Source organism: Homo sapiens, chromosome 21, assembly GCF_000001405.40.
Source record: "Homo sapiens chromosome 21, GRCh38.p14 Primary Assembly".
NCBI classification, from domain to species: Eukaryota; Metazoa; Chordata; class Mammalia; order Primates; family Hominidae; genus Homo; species Homo sapiens.
This window is the reverse complement of record NC_000021.9, coordinates 43,387,596-43,406,773: the sequence shown is the minus strand read 5'-3', so window position 1 is coordinate 43,406,773 and position 19,178 is coordinate 43,387,596. Positions and strand designations below refer to the sequence as shown.

The 19,178-nt window shown below is 57.5% G+C and overlaps 2 long non-coding RNA genes across 6 annotated transcripts, besides 4 other annotated features; one reads left to right on the top strand and one right to left on the bottom strand.

Annotated features, from left to right (window-relative positions):
* Positions 1-1,844: 1,844 nt before the first annotated feature.
* LOC124905028 (uncharacterized) lies at positions 1,845-5,933 on the bottom strand. The gene is made up of 2 exons (XR_007067888.1): positions 3,564-5,933; positions 1,845-3,447 (listed from the first exon to the last, which is right to left on the bottom strand). It is a non-coding gene; the product is annotated as an uncharacterized LOC124905028 (long non-coding RNA).
* A 1,196-nt stretch (positions 5,934-7,129) lies between these two features.
* LINC03039 (long intergenic non-protein coding RNA 3039) lies at positions 7,130-18,175 on the top strand. Of its 5 annotated transcripts, none has more exons than NR_176219.1 (3): positions 7,130-7,871; positions 13,261-15,929; positions 16,184-18,175. It is a non-coding gene; the product is annotated as a long intergenic non-protein coding RNA 3039 (long non-coding RNA). The 5 variants fall into 5 exon arrangements; NR_176220.1 differs by lacking the exon at positions 7,130-7,871 and adding an exon at positions 9,227-9,357 and having other exon boundaries at positions 13,261-15,915; NR_176221.1 differs by lacking the exon at positions 7,130-7,871 and adding an exon at positions 9,227-9,357.
* Positions 7,463-8,139: an enhancer, noted in NCBI's record as "H3K4me1 hESC enhancer chr21:44818515-44819191 (GRCh37/hg19 assembly coordinates)". NCBI's record gives its function as "activates a minimal SCP1, AML or CMV promoter by ChIP-STARR-seq in naive H9 embryonic stem cells {active_cell/tissue: H9 hESC(naive)}" and the evidence as "EXISTENCE:reporter gene assay evidence [ECO:0000049][PMID:30033119]".
* Positions 8,557-9,105: an enhancer, noted in NCBI's record as "H3K27ac-H3K4me1 hESC enhancer chr21:44817549-44818097 (GRCh37/hg19 assembly coordinates)". NCBI's record gives its function as "activates a minimal SCP1, AML or CMV promoter by ChIP-STARR-seq in primed H9 embryonic stem cells {active_cell/tissue: H9 hESC(primed)}" and the evidence as "EXISTENCE:reporter gene assay evidence [ECO:0000049][PMID:30033119]".
* Positions 9,106-9,654: an enhancer, noted in NCBI's record as "H3K27ac-H3K4me1 hESC enhancer chr21:44817000-44817548 (GRCh37/hg19 assembly coordinates)". NCBI's record gives its function as "activates a minimal SCP1, AML or CMV promoter by ChIP-STARR-seq in primed H9 embryonic stem cells {active_cell/tissue: H9 hESC(primed)}" and the evidence as "EXISTENCE:reporter gene assay evidence [ECO:0000049][PMID:30033119]".
* Positions 15,439-15,639: a silencer, noted in NCBI's record as "peak4419 fragment used in MPRA reporter construct". NCBI's record gives its function as "represses an SCP1 promoter by STARR-seq MPRAs in K562 erythroleukemia cells {active_cell/tissue: K562}" and the evidence as "EXISTENCE:reporter gene assay evidence [ECO:0000049][PMID:32103011]".
* Positions 18,176-19,178: the final 1,003 nt, after the last annotated feature.

Below are 19,178 nucleotides of genomic sequence, written 5' to 3'. Positions count from 1 at the left end.
TTTAAAAGATCAAATCATTGATTTTATATCTTGTTTCTGATATAAACATTTAAAGCTCTGATTTCTCAATAAGCACGCCTTTAGTTACATCCTGTATGTTTTGGTGTGTTGTGTTTTTATTTTCATTTAGTTCAAAATGTTTTCTGTTTTTAGGCTGGGCACGGTGGCTCATGCCTTTAATCCCAGCACTTTGGGAGGCTGAGGCAGGTGGATCACCTGAGGTCAGGAGTTCGAGACCAGCCTGGCCAACATGGTGAAACCCCGTCTCTACTAAAAATACAGAAGTTAGCCGGCTGTGGTGGTGGACGCCTGTAATCCCAGCTACTTGGGAGGCTGAGGCAGGAGAATCGCTTGAACCCGGGAAGCGGAGGTTGCAGTGAGCCGAGATTGCACCACTGCACTCCAGCTTGGGCGACAGACCAAGGCTCCGTCTCAAAAAAAAAAAGCAAAATGTTTTCTGTTTTTCTTGTAATTTCCTTCTTTACCTGTGGGTCACTTAGAAATGTGTTCCATTTCTAATTATTTAATACTTAGCCATTTTTAGGTAACTTTTAGTTGTTAATTTTTAATTTACAGCTGACTGCTTGGGTCTACACCATGTGCCCTGAGAAAAGCGCGTATTCTGCTGCGGTCGGGAAGCCTCCAGACATCCGAGCGAGCTGGAGATGCTGTTTTTGGAGCTGTCTACATTCCACTGACCTGTCTTCTTTCTCTGTTCATTGCTGGGGGAAGAGCGTGAGGTGGCGGACGAAGCTCGTGCCTTCATCTGTGTCTTCACTGCTCTCATTTCCAGCTGCATATTTTGAAGCTTTCCATCACGTGCGTGCATATTTAGGACTGTGGGTCTCCTTAACAGGCTGACCCTTTCTTCACTGATGAACTGTCTCCACGTGTCTTCGTCCATCTTCCTTGCCCTGGAGTCTATGTTGCCTGCGATGTTCGTGGCCGTGCCAGCCGCCCCGGGGTCAGGGTTTGAATGCTGTATCTTTGACCATTTCTATATTTGCAGTCTGTCTTTGTCTTTCAGGTGTGATTCTTGCAGACAGCATACTTTAAGTCTTTGATTTTTAGCCAGTCCAACCATCTCTGCTTTTCATTGGTGAGTTTAGCCCATTTAACAGCCTTTTTTTAAACGTTTTTATTTCCATAGGTTGTGGGGGAACAGGTGGTATTTGGTTACGTGAGGAAGTTCTTTAGTGGTGATTTGTGAGATTTTGGTGCAGCCATCACCCAAGCAGTGCACACTGCACCCGATTTGTAGTTTTTTATCCATCACCCCCTTCCCGCCCTTTCCCCCTGAGTCCCCAAAGTCCATTGTGTCATTCTTATGCCTTTGCATCCTCATAGCTTAGCTCCCACTTATAAGTGAGAACATACGATGTTTGGTTTTCCATTCCTGAGTTACTTCACTTAGAATAATAGCCTCCGATCTCATCCAAGTTGCTGCAAATGCCATTACTTCATTACTTCTTATGTCTGAGTAGTATTCCATCATATATATATATATATATATATATATACACACACCACAGTTTCTTTATCCACACGTAGGTTGCTGAAGCCCATGTAGTATTGAGTGTAGTGAATGACATGCCTGTGTTTCTTGCTCTGTGTCCAGTTGGTTTGTCTGGTCTCCTCTTTGTTCCTGGGAATGTCCTCTTTTCATGTCATCTCCTGGGTCAACTGTGCATTAATTACCCATTGTATCTCTACGTGGGAAGGGGATGGGGTGCACACGCCTCTGTCCACGTCTTCGTGGTCAGATGGTAGACGCCGGGCCACAGCAAGCATTAGGGAGGCTGTGGGCTTGCCTGAAACCATCACTCTTACTGTGTTTGGTGGAATGGTGTTCTTATAAAATTTATTTTTATGATAACAATGACAAAACACATTTGAAAACTACTAACAAATGCAACAGCCTCAATTGGTAGATGTGGCAATGACAGCTTCTCTAGGACGGGGTGGATCTGTGTGCCTACAAGTCCCAAGCCTGCACCGGAGCCAGCCAGTTCCGGCTGTAGGATTTGCCTTGCCACGCGTGACGTCTGGCACCTGGCGGCTCTTCCCTGCAAAGCCCTGCAGCCTCGCTGAGCTGTAGAACTGCTCAAGCCCTTCTTTTCCAGCTGCCAGGAGGGTGACAGCTGTGCCTGCCCCCGGGTGTCTGAGGACATAGCAAGGGCAGGCCTGGGGCGAGCCTGGTGGGGGAACCCAGGCAAACGTGAGCCATGGCTAGTCACAGTTGGGAAGCTTGTCCTGGGATGTGTGCAGCCTGGTTACGCCAACGTGTACATCAACTCTTGCCAGGGAAAGGTAAAGCTCGGGGCCCAGAGGCCTGGGCTGAATTTCAGCCCAGGGCAGCTAAGCCCAGCTCCCAGCCCCTGGTCCTGGACGTGCCTGCTGTCCATCTTAGCAGGCCCCATAGAGCAAGTAGGAGAAGGAAACGGGCTTGCCAGCAGGGCCAGCTGTCCAGAGGGCATAGGGCAGCCTTCCCATGTGGGCAACGGTCGGCTTACTGGTGCGGAGCTTTCTAATGCCACAGTAGGGCCAGCCAGGTCCCTGAGCCAGGTCCTCGGGCCAGCCCCAGGGCCGGCCCAAGGCCTTTTCTGGCACTCAGCTGGATCAAAGGCTTGGCTTTCAAAGGGGACTCCCTGGGCAAAGGTTGCAGTTTCCAGTATCAGTGGTGACGGGGTCGGGCCTGGCTAGAAGGGCCTGGAGCCCTGCTGGCCACCACCCTGCAAGCCCGCCTGACACCTGGAGAAACTGGGGGCTCTGCCCACCCTTTCCCATGCCCAGGGGTGCAGGCAGGCTGTGCCATGGCATTCTGGGCAGGTGCGTTGAAGACGTTAAATGGGCGAGTTCCCTCTCGGCATGGGGTATAATTAATTTTCCTGAAATAGGCATGACAGCCCAGCAGTCTGCGTGTCTGAGTCAGGCAGTGATTATTACCTCTCACCGGCATGATGCGCCATCGGCCACTCAGAATTCAGAGCACCACAGCTCCCCGGGCCCTGCTGGGGTGGTGCAGGGGGTTCGGGGCTGGCCAGGGCTTGGGAGATGCTACCCCGCTCAGAACCACCCTGCCTGGAGGCTTGGGATCCAAGAGGCGTTTGTGGCTCCCAGGTGTAGGGTTGGCACCAAGGATGGCGGGAAGGTTACAGCAATGGGTGAGGGAGCGGGAGGGTCCAGCAGAGCTTGCAGGGGGTGGCTGGAGCTGCCCTTGGTGAGTGGAGTGGACGGCCAGGTCCTGTGGGGGACGGGGGCGCACCCCAGCACACACCCCGGCAATGCCCCCAGTCGGGGGAAAGAGCCCGGGCTCCAGTGATGTGGGCTGGCCACGGTCGGTAGCAGTGGTCCGAGTCGGGTGAAGCTTGCCTTCGCGTGTTCTGGGCCACAGTGCTGTGGGGTCACCCTCTGGCCCCCACACCGGGCAGTTTCCGGGAGCAGGAGCTGGAAGTGCAGGGCAGGCTCAGCCCAGTGGGCGGTGATGGCTGCCTGGCCCTCCCGTCACAGAGCCTGTGGTGGCTCTGGGCACCCCTCCTACCTGGGACCGAGCTGTTTCTCACCCCAGGCCTTGCTGACCGTCCAGGTCTGGGGTCTCCCGGGGACGCGCTCTGCATGTGGGATCCATCTGTATTCCAGGGTCCCTGCCGTGGCCAGGCTCTCATCCCTAGGGGCTTCTGGTCTCGTTTCTACCCCAAGGAAGCACCCACAGCAGGTGCCCTCAGCACCCTCCCTTCTGCTTCCTGGACCCAGCGACTGGCTTCTCCCCACTCTCCTGATTGCATATGCTCAGAGGCCTGTCCCAGAGGCTTTGGCCACAGTGGTTTATGTCCTGAACGCCACTGTGCCCAGGCCCCTGGGGATGTTCCCCCCTGAGGTTGTCATCGCAGCCTCCCTGCTTTATGGGTCAGGAAACTGAGGCACACGTGGCCGGAGGACCAGAGGTGGGTGGGAGCCCCCGGCAGTGCTCCCGTGATAGGGCTGAATTGTCCCTGCCTGGCACCCAGACAGAGCAGTTGGCGTAAGCAGGGGTGCATGTCTGCCCGTCCAGGGTGGGTGTCGGCCCTGAGGGTGCAGTCGTCTGCAGCTGCAGGACCCCAAGCCCCTCAGATGGGAGATGGTTGGACTCTGGGACGTTCCCCAGACGCAAGGCTGGGGGTGTGGGCCTCTGGATGTAGAGGCTGGCTAGGCTGCCTTCTCCCACCTCCCGTTCCTGGGGCTCATCTTGCTGTGTCAAAGGGTGAGGCCTCATGCGTGGGTAAGGTGGGGAGCAAAGCAGAGATTTTGTCCTCACAGGGGTGCAGATGGGGAAACTGAGGTCTCAGGTTAGCTGGGAAGTACATAAGGGTGTCGTCCTGCAGCTGAGCGGAGTGGCCGGCCCCATCTTCCTCCTTCCCTCGCTGGGCACGGGCAAGCTGTCCCGGTGACCTCACCAAGGCCTCTCTGTCAGCGCACTTCACAGAGGGAGAACTAAAGGTTGAAGCCTTCAGTCCAGATCACAGAGGCGGTAAATGTCCGAGCGGGTCAGACCCTGATGCTGCAGCCGGACCTCAGAGCCCCCTGGGCAGTGACGGGCCTCTAGGGCATCCTGGGTTTTGTTGCCTGTGCTGCCCCCCAGGGCCCCTCCTACCACCAGAGATGCTGCCTGAGAGCGGGGCTCAGCGGGTGGCCAGGCCCCTCTCCCACCCCGCCCCCGCAGGAGGAAGGCCTTGGCGTTTCAAGGTCGGCCTCCACTTTCACTTTCTTTTTAAGAAGGAGGGTATTATGGGTTGAATTGTGCCCCCAAGATGGTATGTCCAGGTCCTAAGCGCTGGCACCTGCCGTGATCTCATTTGAAAATAGAGTCTGTGCAGAAGTCATCAAGTTAAGATGAGGTCATACTTGAGCAAGGTGGGCCTAATCCCTGTGTGACAGGGGTCCTGTCACAGAGACACCTGACAGGAGGGGAAATTGGGACCCAGAGTCACGGGCACGAGGGGGACGGACGTGAAGACGGAGACTGGAGTGGCACAGCCACAAGCCAAGGGCCACCAGGAGCTGGAAGAGATGGACGAGGCAGGGAAGGATCTTCCGCTAGAACCCATGGAGGGTGCGTGGCTCTGCCCACATGTTGATTTTGAACTTCTGGCCTCCAGAATTGTGATGGAATGAATTTCGGCAGCCACAGGAAACTAAGAAGCCCAAACACGCCGGTTCCTATCCGTGAAGGACAAAAGACCCACGCGTTGAGTCACCAGGGCTATCAGGGAAGAGCCTGGGCCGGGGTCCTAGCCCCAGAGCCCAGAATCCCCGCTTCCAGTTCTCAGCTGCCCCGTGGTGTCCGCCCTCCTGCCCTCTCCACGCTCCAGGGCCCTCTTTTTGTAAAGAAGAAATATTTTCCTCATGGAATGACTCCCTCCTCCAACCCAAACAGGATCATATTTCTGCTTTGAAACAGACACTTCTGCTGTGAGTAGCGGCATCTTTAAATAAACACATCCTCCCTGTTGGGGTAGACAGAGGCAGATGGAGAGACACAGAAAACAGCGCGCAGAGCCCTTGCTTGCGGGTGGGATCCGCGACTCCACAGCCTCCCCTTCCCTGCCCACTTCTGCCTCCTCCTCTTTGTGGGGTGCCCCAGGGCTCTCCTCCCCCATGGCCCCCAGAAACAACCTTGGGGCTTCTTATGTCCTGCGACCTCCTCGGAGCTGTTCTGGGGGCTCTTGGCTGTCGCAGCAAGGAGCTGCACTGAAGTGAAGTGCTTTCCCTGGGAGGTGAGGGCCTTGGCAGGCGGGACTCTCAGAAGGCTGGACCCAAGGGGGGACACGGGCTGCCTGTTCCTGCTGAACCCACACAAGCTCCGTTTCCCTCCTCCTCAGGCTGCCCGGAAGCCCCCGCTACGTCCTGGGAAATGGCTCCTGGGTCTCCCCCAGGCTTCTGGGACCTTAGCCTCGCAGGGCTGCTGGGGGTGGGAGGGGCGCCTTGCCCTGGACACGGCGAGGGAAGCCACTGTGAGGGCAGGCTCTGGCTGGGAGGGGCTGCTCCTGCTGGATGGGACAGCGGTGCCAGCCGGGCATGGGGAGGGTTTCAGCAGGGGGCAAACCTCGTGGGGAGTTGGCCACTCAGGGCAGGCCAGGGAGGGCAGGAATGGAGGTGGAAGGCCTCTGGGGCAAGGCAGGGCAGGGCTTACCCCACCCCAACCACAGAAGGGCCTAATCAGGGGTGGAGGAACTGGTGGGCCTGTGTCCGGGGCCAGCCCGGTCCCCAGTGGTGTGACTGGGGCTGGGTGTGAGGCTGTGGTGAGAGGGGCTCATTCCTGGCACGCCAGGTACTGCTCCTGGGCCACAGAACCCAACCTTCCAGCGGTCAGGGTCTAGGCTGCTGATAGGCACTCGTCCTGGCGGCCAGACTCATGGGCTGCGGGTGAGGACCCCAGCAGATGGGTCGGGGCGACCTGGGATGGCGGAGGGCAGGTGGGGAGGCTGTGGGAGGTGCCTGCTGGGAGGGAAAGGACTGTGCTCCGTGCCCACCCCGGGGGCTCCCTGTCATCGCTCCGCTCCCTCTGGCCTACGCATCCACAGGCCCTGCCCGTCCACCCGTGCATTCGGTTTGGTACAAAATCCCCTGGCAATGCTTTCTGTGGGGGCTGATTCTTAACACCCCTCCCCTTCCGCCAAGCAGGCCCTGTGGGTCTGTTGACCGGGAGCACAGAGGGCCTAGCGGACAGCTACACCCCAGGGTGGCCTTGGGCCTGGGGGCCCCGGAGGAGCGGGCTGTCAGCAACTCCCAGCAGCCAGGCCTGTGGGCTGAGATGGTGGCGGTTTCCTGCCCTGCCTCTCCTCCCCTCCGGGGTCAGGGGGCTCCTCTCCTGACCTTGTACTTAGAAACGACACAGCGTCCCACAGAGCATCGCCCTGTGCCTCTGGGGGCCGGGCCTGCCCCAAGCCTCACATGCCAGCCTGGCACTGCTGCTGCCCTCGGGCAGGGGCCCTTTCTGGGTCGGGGACAGGTGGTCTTTCCCCACTTGGGAAAGAGGGAAGTGAAAACCCCAGAGGGAAGTGGTTTGCCCCAAGCTGGCAGAGCGAGTCCGGGGCAGGAAGTCACAGTAGGCAGGGGTGCCGGAGCCGGCGAGAGGGGGCCGGCGGGTGGATGGTCTCAGTTCCAGAGCCTCAGGGGCCTCCAGTGAGGAGCACAGGGCCCCTGCCCACCCTGTGGCCAGAACCCTGGACGCACGTGGCAGCCGCTCAGGGCCCCAGGAGAGCGTGTCGGGGCACCCTCAGGGCAGCACCCCGGCTTCCCGCCCCCTCACTCCCTGGCTGCACCAGGCTCAGCCTTCCGGGGATGGGCGACACTGCCCCTCTCCCGATCCCCACCGCGGGGTGCAGCCTGGCAGCTCCCTGGCCAGACGCAAGGGGACTGTGAGAGAGAGACGTCCGGGTTACTACGCGTGGGCCTGGCCCAGTCAGCCAAGCAGATGCAGCCGTGTGGTCTTGGGCTCTGTGAGCTCGGGAGTTCCCGCACAGAACGCGGGCCTCACTGTCTCCTCTGCCCGCAAATTCCCCGGCATGGGCTGCGCTGCTGCTGCAGAATTACCCAGCCCCAGGACCGGTGCACGGTCAGCAGAGGCCCGGGCCCGCCTTGTGGAAGGCGACATATCGGCAGTGCCCGACCTAAATTCCCAGGCACTGTGGCCAGGTGGGTGGCCTCCCGTGAAGGGCTGGCTGCCCACACCTGGGTCATGAACCCTCACGTCACTCGCGAGGCCTGCACCACGTCGCCGGGGCACAGAGGAGGAAACTGAGCCTCAGGACTTGGCCTGCAGAGAGAGGGGTCGAAGTGTGCCCCCCAAAGCACCCCTCACACCCCAGTCCCCCCACTTCACCCCAAATGAGGTAGGTGTCCACAGGGGAGAGTGGGGGCAGCCCTGGGGCTGGCTGAGGGTCACCTGCAGGGGGTCAGGAGCTGCTGCGGAGAAGGGAGCGTCCACACACATCTGCACACGTGCACACGCACACACGCTCACACTCACCGGCACCGAGGTGCACCGCCTGGCCGAAAGCTGTCTTCCTGTTTACTCTGACCTGGTCCCTACCACAGGCTTGAAGAGCAAATGTTTTTGTCTCCATCGTGCAGAAGAGGAAGCTGAGGTTCAGAGGCATTAAGTGACCCACATAAAGTTGTCCAGCATGTCTGATGGGGTTGGCCCTAGTGACTCCAGGTCAGGAGCCAGAGAGCCCCAGGGGGAGTGTTGGTGACCGGGCGGGCTCCCGGCAGGAGAAGGGCACCTCATGTTGGTCAGCATGAGTGTGGGGTAGAGGTGACCTGGGGGAAAGGTGACCTGGGAGGGAGGTGACCACAGGGAGAGGTGGCCTCTGGGGGAGGTGACCACAGGGGAGGATGACCTGATGAGGAGATACCTGGGGCAGATGACCACAACAGGGACCTGGCCACAGGAGGAGGTGACCTGGTGGGGAGGTGACCTGGGGGGAGACACCCTGGTGGGAGGTGACCACGGGAAGGGGTGGCTTCTGGGGGAGGTGATCACAGCGGGGAGATGACCTGACAGTGTCAGGTTATGTGGGGGCAGATGACCACAGTGGGGAGCTGGCCACAGGAGGAAGTGACTTCTGGGGGAGGAGGCCATAGTAGGGTGGTGACCTGGTGGGGAATTGACCTGGTGGGGAGGTCACCTGGGGGGAGGTGACCACAGTGGGGAGTGACCACAATGACCACTTCTCCAAGTGGCCACGGGAGGAGGTGACACAGGGGGGTGATGGCTTTGGGGGAGTAACACCAGCCCTGCAGAGGAGGATAAGCCCCTTGGGAGGAGGGGTCAGGGAGGAGGAGGTGGCCCACTCTGTGGCCTCGCCTGCAGGGGAGGCCCTGTCCCTGCGCTCCTTAGAACAGACACCCTGGGCGGCGGGCCCCTTCCTCCTGGCCTGCAGGTCGGCCTGCAGTGGAGTGCTACCACAGCCTGGAATCCTCAGTACTGGAGCCTCTGCCACCCAGCTGGGGTCTCACGCTCAGCCCCCGACCATCCCCAGAGGCCAGGCCACCTGTGGTTCTGGGGTCCCGAGGCTCTTGGGAGCCCAAGCTGCTGGTGTGACCTGCTGCAGCTGCTGCCAGCCAGGCAGGGAGAGCTGAGAGCTGAGCTTGCCCTGTGCCCAGGAGGGTGGACTCTGGCAGGACATGGCCCGGAGGTGGGAGGGGCGTGTGCCCGTGTGTGCTTGGGCACGGTACCCGGTCTGAGGCCCGTGTTGTCTCGGGCAAAATGCGCACACTGTCTTGGAGGAGGCGGGCCGGGGACTCCTGCGTGGCCCGAGGAAGCTGAGGGGAGGTAGTCCCTGATGCCATCAGCCTCCTTGCTCCGGAAACCAGGTGAGTGCAGATTCTCCTACCTGGCTGAGTGGAGTCCTGCGCATCCAGTGGAGAGAAATGGAAGTTTACTGCAAACTGGGGGTTCCCCGCAGCCTTGGTTTATGGTTAAATATTACAGAGGCCCCGTGGGAGAGCCAGGCCCCTTCCCTCTGTGGGCCCTGAAGGGGGCCACAGAAGCAACACCACGGTGTGGGGGGAGCACCGTCCCGTGAAGCTCCCGCTAGGCCGAGGGGCTGGGGCTGTGCTCGCCATCCTCGGCCACCAGCCTGGCTTTCGGGTCCCCACACACAGGCAAGAGCACGGGAACCGCATCCTGACCTGCCAGCTCCTCTCCAGAGGCTCGGACCCAGATGGGGCTGGATTGGGGCGGGAGGAGGCGCAGTGGCCAGGGAAGCTCTGGGGCAAATGCCTTCCAAGTGACTCATCGGGGCTGGGTCCCTGAAGCCTGCCATCCACCCCAGCTCTACTCTGCCTGCGCGGCCTGGGAGCGGCGCCTGTGCCCTTGGGTTGAGGACACCGATTAGCAGGCAAGGCCCACACGAAGGTGTCGCCTTCTTCGTCAACTGAGGCCCAGTGTGGCTTCCTGGAGTTGTGAACAGCTCCTGGCCTCCCTGGGGCTCCGCAGCTGGGCCTTCCCTGCATCTCGGGGTGTAAACCAGCCCCAGGAAACAGGCGGAGTGGCTGCAGCATGGGTCAAGGTCAGAGAATCCGGGAGCCCCACAGCCGGCAGGGCTGATGACATGAGCTTCAGGGCCCAGCGCAGAACAGAAACACGGCCGTTGTTTTAAGAGTGTCCGACAGTGACCATGGGCGCTATACCAGGGGCAGGCCCCTCCGAGCCGCGCTGGAGCCTGAGGGCTGACTGGCCGAAGAGCTTTGGTGGGAGGAGCGGGATGTAGCCGTGGCTCAGTTAGGGGCCGGGAGAGGAAGGCCGCGCAGGTGTCCTCTTTGCTGCTCAGGGCCAGCCAGCGGGAGGGTTCGGGGATTTTAAGAGGAGACACTGGTTCTGCGTCCCCCTCACACTGCTGGGAGAGAACACAGGAGGGGCTATTTGTGAATTATGTCTGGTTGCTGTGAGTGTGTGTCGTGGGTGTTTAACCACCTCTCTGCTCCAAGATGGAAAGTGGAGGTGCTGCTCCCACCATCACCCTCTGCCTTCCTGCACCCGCCCCCTCCACTGCCTGTGGCCTGCATGCGGCCCTCATGGCCACTGTGAACTGTATGTGCCCCGACCTGCTCCCTTGCCTCTCCCTGAGGCTCATGCAGTTTTCTTGCCTGGAACCCTCTGAGGGCCTTTGCCTGGAGAGCTGCTGTCATCCTTTAAGACCTGAGTCCTGCCTACCGCCTTATTTCCACAGCACCTCTGCACACCCCTGTCTGCGCACCTATTGTATTAATCCGGCATTACTGCAGGAGTGCTGTCCTATCTGCGGTAGGGAGAGCTCTCTTGGTGCAGAATCCCAACTCAGATGAACGTAAGCCAAAAGGGAGCCTGTTGGCTTATTATAACTATCTCACCCAGGCGCAGCTGCAGGCATGGCTGGATCCAGGACCTCAATAATGCACTCAAAGCTCTGTCTCTCTCCCGGCATCTCAGCCCTGCTTGTCTTTACTTGACTTCATTCAGGGTGTCAGCTCTCTCTCCATGCAGTGGGGGATGGCCTCTGGCAATCCCAGGTTAGCAGCCCTGATGAGAAGAGGCCGTTTTTCCCTTCACTCTGTGGACAAGTCTCCCAGGGACTTCCAATGGTGTAGCTTGGGCTGTGTGAGCTCCCAGGACTGATCACTGCGGCTGGCGAGGGAGCACGCGCCTCCTTATAACAGGATAGGGTCAGCCTATAGAAAAGGGAGACTTATCTGCTGCCTTGCAAAGGGGAGGACGGAGGCTGGGCAGTGTGTGCACCTCCCCAGCCAAATGGGCGAGCACTGTGATGGAGGGTTGTGCATTTCCAGGCTCTCGGTATCCCCAGCCCCTTGCCCGTGCCTGGCGCATAAGTGGACACAATCTTTATGGACCAGTCACCCCGCTGCACCAGGGACTCTTTGACCAAAGAGAGTGGAGCATGTGGGCCCTGGGGACACGGTGTGGTGGCCGGGGTTTCTTCATGCAGCCTCCTGGGCCTTGGCTCTCCCTCCGCTGGTGGCCTGGAGGGACAGGAATAAATTTTGCAGCAGAATTGACCGCGGGGGAGGGAAGGGCTTCCTTGCCCTGGGGCCCTTCTCACAGTTTTCATCTCGCTCAGTTCCAAGTCAAAACCTCTGGCCTGCGAAGCTCATTTGGGAACAGTGGGAGAGCAGATCTGAACCGGACACGGTCACTGGTTGCCTTGGTTATTCTGGGCAGGACACGTGGCGTCAGCCTGGGCAGAGGGGCAGAGCCTCGGGGCCATGGTTTAGGGTCCTGGATCCAGCCCCGTGGAAGCTGCTCTCTGGGTGCTGCCGTGAAGGTGGCAGGTCCCCTTTCTGACTGAAGGTCCTTCGAATCCGTGTTCCAGGCTCCAATCATAGAAGCCGGAGCAAGAGAGCCAGAGCTTTGTAGGAATTTACATGGAAACGCTTTCTGCTGCCTGTCATTGCTAACAGGACCGCCCAAGTCCCGGGGTGGACTGTGAGGCCAAATGAATGTGGTTGCCATTGAGTGGGAGCTTCCTCAGCCTCCCTGCACTGGCTGGGGGTGCATCCTCCCAAGGCCCTCTGTCCCTGAGGGCCTGGAGAGGCCCTCTGCTCAGCAGGGGCTACTGAGCCTGCCCCCACCCCACGAGGAGCTGCAGCGACAGGATTGCAAAGACACCCTAGGCCCCACCTACTCTTAATTGTGGGGAAACAGCACCAACCCCAGTTTGCAGTAGTCGGACGGGTTTCTAGCTCACTCTGTCTGAACGTTTCCCTTCCTAACTCCTTTCTTCATCTTCTCTTTTTATTTACTGGGCTATAAATTAGCTCCTTAAATCAGACAAATACATGCACACTGACAAGGTTTGGCTCTGTCTCACCCAAACTTTATGCAGAATTGTCATTCCCAGTGTTGGAGGTGGGGCCTGGTGAGAGGCGGTTGGCTCATGGGGGTGGATTTCTCATGAATGGTTTAGGACCATCCCCTTGGTACTGTCCTCACAACAGTGAGTTCTCGTGAGATCTGGTCATTTTAAAGCATGTGCACCTTGCCCCCACTCTCTCTTCTCTCTTCCTCCTGCTCTGGCCATGGAAGACACACCTGCTCCCCTGTTGCCTCCTGCCATGATTGGAAGCTTCCTGAGGCCTCCTCAGAAGCTGATGCTGCTATGCTTCCTGTACAGCCAGCAGAACCATGAGCCAATTCAACCTCTTTCCTTACAAATTACCCAGTCTCATGTCTGTCTGTCTTTCATTCTTTCTTTTCTTTCTTTCTCTTTCTTTCTTTCTTTCTTTCTTTCTTTCTTTTTTTCTTTCTTCTTTCCTTCCTTCCCCCTCTCTCTTTCTTTCTTTCCTTCCTTTCTTCCTTCTTCCTTCCTTCCTTCTCTTTCTTTCTCTCTCTCTCTTCCATCTTTCCTTCCTTCCTTCCTTTTTTTTTTGAGATGGAGTCTCACTCTGTTGCCAGACTGGAGTGCAGTGGTGCAATCTCAGCTCACTGCAACCTCCGCCTTCCAGGTTCAAGTGATTCTTCTGCCTCAGCCTCCCAAGTAGCTGGGACTACAGGTGCACACCAGCACACCCAACTAATTTTTTTTTTTGTATTTTTAGTAGAGATGGGGTTTCACCATGTTGGCCAGGATGGTCTGGATCTCCTGACCTCATGATCCGGCTGCCTTGGCCTCCCAAAGTGCTGGGATTACAGGCGTGAGCCACCGCACCCGGCCTTGTGTATTTCTTTATATAATGCGAGAATGGATGAACACACACACTACCTGTCATTGTTTTTCTTAGAATTCTGCAGGCCACGGACATGGCCGAGCAGCTGGAGCCCGGCTGCATCCGTGCTGTCTACACCGGCCTGGGCTGTGCTGTCTACACCGGCCTGGGCTGTGCTGTCTACACACCGTCACCTGCCTGGGCCGTGCTGTCTACACACCGACACCGGCCTGGGCCGTGCTGTCTACACACCGTCACCTGCCTGGGCCGTGCTGTCTACACACCGTCACCTGCCTGGGCTGTGCTGTCTACACACTGACACCGGCCTGGGCCGTGCTGTCTACACCGGCCTGGGCCGTGCTGTCTACACACCGTCACCTGCCTGGGCCGTGCTGTCTACACACCGTCACCTGCCTGGGCCGTGCTGTCTACACACCGTCACCTGCCTGGGCCGTGCTGTCTACACACCGTCACCTGCCTGGGCCGTGCTGTCTACACACCGTCACCTGCCTGGGCCGTGCTGTCTACACACCGTCACCTGCCTGGGCCGTGCTGTCTAGACACCGTCACCTGCCTGGGCCGTGCTGTCTACACACCGTCACCTGCCTGGGCCGTGCTGTCTACACACCGTCACCTGCCTGGGCCGTGCTGTCTACACACCGTCACCTGCCTGGGCTGTGCTGTCTACACACTGACACCGGCCTGGGCCGTGCTGTCTACACCGGCCTGGGCCGTGCTGTCTACACACCGTCACCTGCCTGGGCCGTGCTGTCTACACACCGACACCGGCCTGGGCCGTGCTGTCTACACACCATCACCTGCCTGGGCCGTGCTGTCTACACACCGTCACCTGCCTGGGCCGTGCTGTCTACACACCGTCACCTGCCTGGGCCGTGCTGTCTACACACCGTCACCTGCCTGGGCCGTGCTGTCTACATACTATTGCTGGCCCAGCCTCAGCCCTGGGATGAGTACAGACTACTTTCTTTTGGCCAATCGCAGCTTTCAGCCAGCCCCGTCATACTCCCCTCCTTGTCCCTTACAGCCCCTGGGACAGACTCCCCTGAGTCTGCTCACTTTCTTTTTCTTTTTTTTTTTTTTTTAGATAGAGTCTTGCTTTGTTGCCTAGGCTGGAGTACAGTGGTGTGATCTCGGCTCACTGCAACCTCCGTCTCCTGGGTTCAAGCAATTCTCCTGCCTCAGCCTCCCAAGCAGCTGGGACTACAGGCACCCACCACCACACCTGGCTAATGTTTTGTATTTTTGGTAGAGACAGGGTTTCGCCACGTGGGCCAGGCTGGTCTTGAACTACTGACCTTGTGATCCACCCGCCTTGGTCTCCCAGAGTGCGTTGAGCCACCGCACCCGGCCGTCTGCTCACTTTTAACTGTGGAAATGCAGCCCAGCCCAGCTGAAAGCTCGAATCTTCTGTCCTGCTCATGCTCCCCTGCCCCGGGGTGAGGCTGCTGTCTCTCCAGACTTGGGGTGGGGACAGAGGTGTGCGTGCTCTCCTGCTCGCTCCCCTCCACCCTCTGGGCTGGTACCCTGATGAGCCACCAGCTCTGATGACTCCGACCTCCCTATCCCCACACAGAGGCTGGGGCTGCGGCTGGGTGACTGGCGGGTCAGTCCTGCTCAGCCCTGCAGGCTGTGTGTCTGGGTCTAATGAGTTTCTTAGAATGTGGAGATTGTGCTGGGTGGTGTTGGGGGTTGCTTGGAACCTCTGTCATTTTCATCTGTGGACCTTAGTCATCAATTCCGCTGCTCTAGTAAAATTCCTACTGGAAATAAAACCCTGCACCACCCCCCTCTCTCTGTGGGAGCCTCCAGGATGTCTCTGGGGTCTTCCCCGCCAGCCTCCATAGCTGTATTCATCAGGGTTCTCCGGAGAAACAGAAGCAGTAGGAGACGGGTTTATTTATTCCAGGGAACTGGCTCATGTGATTACAGAAGCTGAGATGTCCTGAGACCTGCCACCTGGAGACGGAGGAGGGCCTATGTCACCATCTGAGTCTGAAGGCCTGAGACCCAGGAGAGCTGATGATGCAGCCGAGTTCAAATCTGAAGGCTGGACAAGATCCCATCAGCTTGAAGACCTTCAGGCAGAGAAAGTGGGCTCTCCCTCCCTCAGCCTTTTGTTCTGCTCAGGCCTTCAAGGGATTGGAGGATGCCCGCCCACGCAGGGGACAGCCATGGACTTTCCTCAGTCCTTCAACTCAAATGCTGATCTCACCCAGAGACAGCTCACAGATACCCTAGAGAACATGCGGCCAAATATCTCGCCACCTCTTCCCAGTCAAGGTGACACATGAAATTGGCCATCACAGCGTCCTGGTATCATTGTATCAGAGTTGGCCTGTGTGACAGTGAGTGATGTCCAAGCCTAGTTCACAAATGGCTTTGTGGATCCCACCTTGCTCTCCCTGGGGTCACTCTGGGGGAAGACAGTCGCCATGTTAGGAGAATGCTCAAGCAGCCTTGTGGAGAAGCCTATGAGGCCAGGGACTGAGGCCTCCCGCCAATAGCCTGTGAGGAGCTGCAGCCTCCACCAATGGCCTTGTGAGGACTGGAGGCCTCTCCCCAGCAGCCATGTGAGCAAGCTTCCTTGGAAACGGATCCCCCAGCCCAGTCGCACGTGCAGGTGTTGCCGTCCTGGCGGCAACCTCGTGCCAGATCCTGAGCCACAGCCACCCCACTGGGCTTCTTCCAAATCCTGGAGCCTCTGAAACTGTAAGATAATGAAGGTTTGTTGTTTTACACTGCTCAGTTTTGGGGTAATTTGCTACATGGAAATAGAAAACACACACAGTCTATATCTGTATGTGTATATGTTTTATATATTCTATATGATATATTTTTAAATAGGGTTTTCTTCCCAGGATGGGATCTTACTGAACATTCTTAAAAACCAATTAATTTTAGACATGCCCAGCTGTCCCACATTTCCATAGAGGAAGGGCAGGAGAATTCTCTAAATATTCTGTGTGTTTTCCTTCAGGCCCAGCGTCCCTCGAGGTGAGGTTGGGACCATGTGACCAGCCATGGCCAATGGGCTCTGAGCAGAAGGACCATGAGTCGGCTTGCCAACACACTCAGAGGTTGCATGCCTCCTCCACAGGCCCCTCTCTGCCGTGGGACCCTGGAGGCATGTCTGTGAGGGCGGCACTAGGAGATGGGGAACCCGGCCCCCCAGTGACCCTGGAGGAGGGCCCTGACAATCCGTGTGCTGCTTGCCCTAGAGAGAAATACGCTGTAGCGCGATTAAGCTGTGAGATTTTGGAGGTTTGCTTGTTACTGCGTCACGTCACGGCCCAGCCTCTCCTGACTCGGTGCAGCAGATAACAATGGCAGTCAAAGCACCACGTTATCTGTTCTGAAGAAAGTGGAACTTTCTTCTGAAAATGCAGGTGGCCTCAGACACTCCGGGAGGCGTTCTCAATCCATTGCAACACTTTGTGGGGGAAATTGCCTGAGTCCCCCAGCTCGTCCATCTCTGCACCGGAGACTGTACGGGGTGAAGGAGGGTGTCTTAGGAAGCCACTGAGGCATCGCCAGAGCCCGCACGGGCAGCGTCAGGCACCCCAGGAGGTCATTTCACATGTTCTACAAGGACATGTTTTCAGCTCTCCAGTTTTCTAGTGGAGGAAACCAAACCTCCCAGGTGGTCAACACAGGCGTTTGCCCCACATGCCACCACCAGGTAGCCACGGGTCTCATGGGTGACTGGGAATGGGAGGGGAAGGAAGAAGCTCTTCTTTTGTGGAATCTGATCACAGGGAACCCTCTCCCGCCCGGGGCTCAGAATCTGATCACAGGGAACCCTTTCCCGCCTGGGGCTCAGAATCTGATCACAGGGAACGCTCTCCCGCCCGAGGCTCAGAATCTGATCACAGGGAACCCTCTCCCACCTGGAGCTCAAGATGGTTTCCTGCAGACCTGGAATTAAACGTCAGGCTCCTGCCTGAGTCGCCGGGACCCCCAGCCTGGCTGACCTCTTCTTGCTCTGCTGAGCTCTCTGCATGCCCCCAAGGCCCTCTCCGCCTCTGGCTCAGCCCTTAGGAAGCCCTGGCAGAGAAGCCCAGGATGGGAGAGGCAAAATGGGGAGGATGAGGTTTGCATTACCTGTAATCCTGGCCAGGCCACAGTACCTAAGTGCTCAAACATGAGCCCAGGTGTAGCTGGGAAGGTGTCCTGCAGAGGAGCTCAATATCCACAATCAGATGATCTGAAGGAGATTAGCCTCGATTTTTCTGGGAGGGACTCATCCCTTCAAAGGAAGCCCTTAAGAGTGAAAACCGAGGTTTCACTGAGAACACCTGCCTCAAGACGGTGACGTGCCCTACTGCGTGTCTCCTGCCTGCCGCCTGCCCTGCAGGTTTTGAACCCCCATGATTGCGGGATCCAATGCCTTAAAATAAATCTCTAAACATATATCCGTCTAGGTAAACCGCCTGTTGTCTAAACATATATCCGTGTATGTAAACCGCCTGTTGTCTAAACATATATCCGTGTATGTAAACCGCCTGTTGTCTAAACATATATCCGTGTATGTAAACCGCCTGTTGTCTAAACATATATCCGTGTATGTAAACCGCCTGTTGTCTAAACATATATCCGTGTATGTAAACCGCCTGTTGTCTAAACATATATCCGTGTATGTAAACCGCCTGTTGTTGTCTAAACATATATCCGTGTATGTAAACCGCCTGTTCTCTAAACGTATATCCGTGTATGTAAACCGCCTGTTGTCTAAACGTATATCCGTGTATGTAAACCGCCTGTTCTCTAAACGTATATCCGTGTATGTAAACCGCCTGTTCTCTAAACGTATATCCGTGTATGTAAACCGCCTGTTCTCTAAACATATATCCGTGTATGTAAACTGCCTGTTGTCTAAACGTATATCCGTGTATGTAAACCGTCTGTTCTCTAAACATATATATGTGTATGTAAACCGCCTATTGTCTAAATATATATACGTGTATATGAACCGCCTATTGTTTTTTTCATGTCAGGAAAGCCGGGACAAATCCCCCTGGTTCTGTTTCTCGGAAGAACGTTGCCTGTTAAGGGGGCGTTTCCACTGCCCTCCAAGGGCTTGGGACTCACTGTGTCCTTTGTGTGTGTCAGGGGTGGGGAGCGGCTCCTGTCCAGGCCTTCTTACCGACAGCTACAAGGCTTGGGTCGGCACTGGCTCCTGCCCTCCCTCTCCAGGCCTTGGGAAGACGCGGTTCTCCTGCCCGGGCTGCCCCTTGAGCACCCATCCCTCCTGGTTTCCCAAGTCTGTCCTGTTCTTGTAATTCCTTTATTAAATGCTCCTTAAGTGATTCAATTTGCATGTAACATCTATTTCCTGCCAGGCCCCTGCCTCCTGCCTGGCACTCCCCGTTCACCCCACAGCCAACTGCCATCGGGATGTGCCCAAGCCTCGCAGCAAGAGAAATCTGGAGGCCACGTTCACCGCCCCTCAGACGCAACCCCAGGGCGTCAGCAACTGGCGAGGCCTTTTAATCAAGCAAACTCAGTCCTGCACTGCACACGGCTTTTTGCTTCCTTCGTAATGGCTAGCATCCATAAGTAATCATCCAAAAGTGCAGTGTGTGAGAAAATCAGAACTGCACGGTCTACTGGGCATTCACCCCAGGTAGCGAGCTCTTAGGCTCCCGGGGGGCAAGGACAGGGAGGAGGAAGGGAGGGAGGGAGGGAGGAAGGGAGGGAAGGAGGAAGGGAGGGAGCAGCCTCCCTTGGCGCTGGGGACGGTGGCTCCATTCTCATGAGGCAGAGAGCTCTGGCTTGGGAAATTCCTGGGCTGGAGGGATTTCCTCTCCTCATCCTTGGAGGTCGTGCTTCCTCCAGAGGAATTGTGGAGCCCCTTCCTGGCTCTTCCCAGCAGGGATCCCCCTTCCCAGTGTCTCCTAGCATCCCCTGAACTGGAGAGCCTCCCCGCTACCTGGGCTGGTCGCTGTGGAAACCGTCTCACAGCTGAGGGGCTG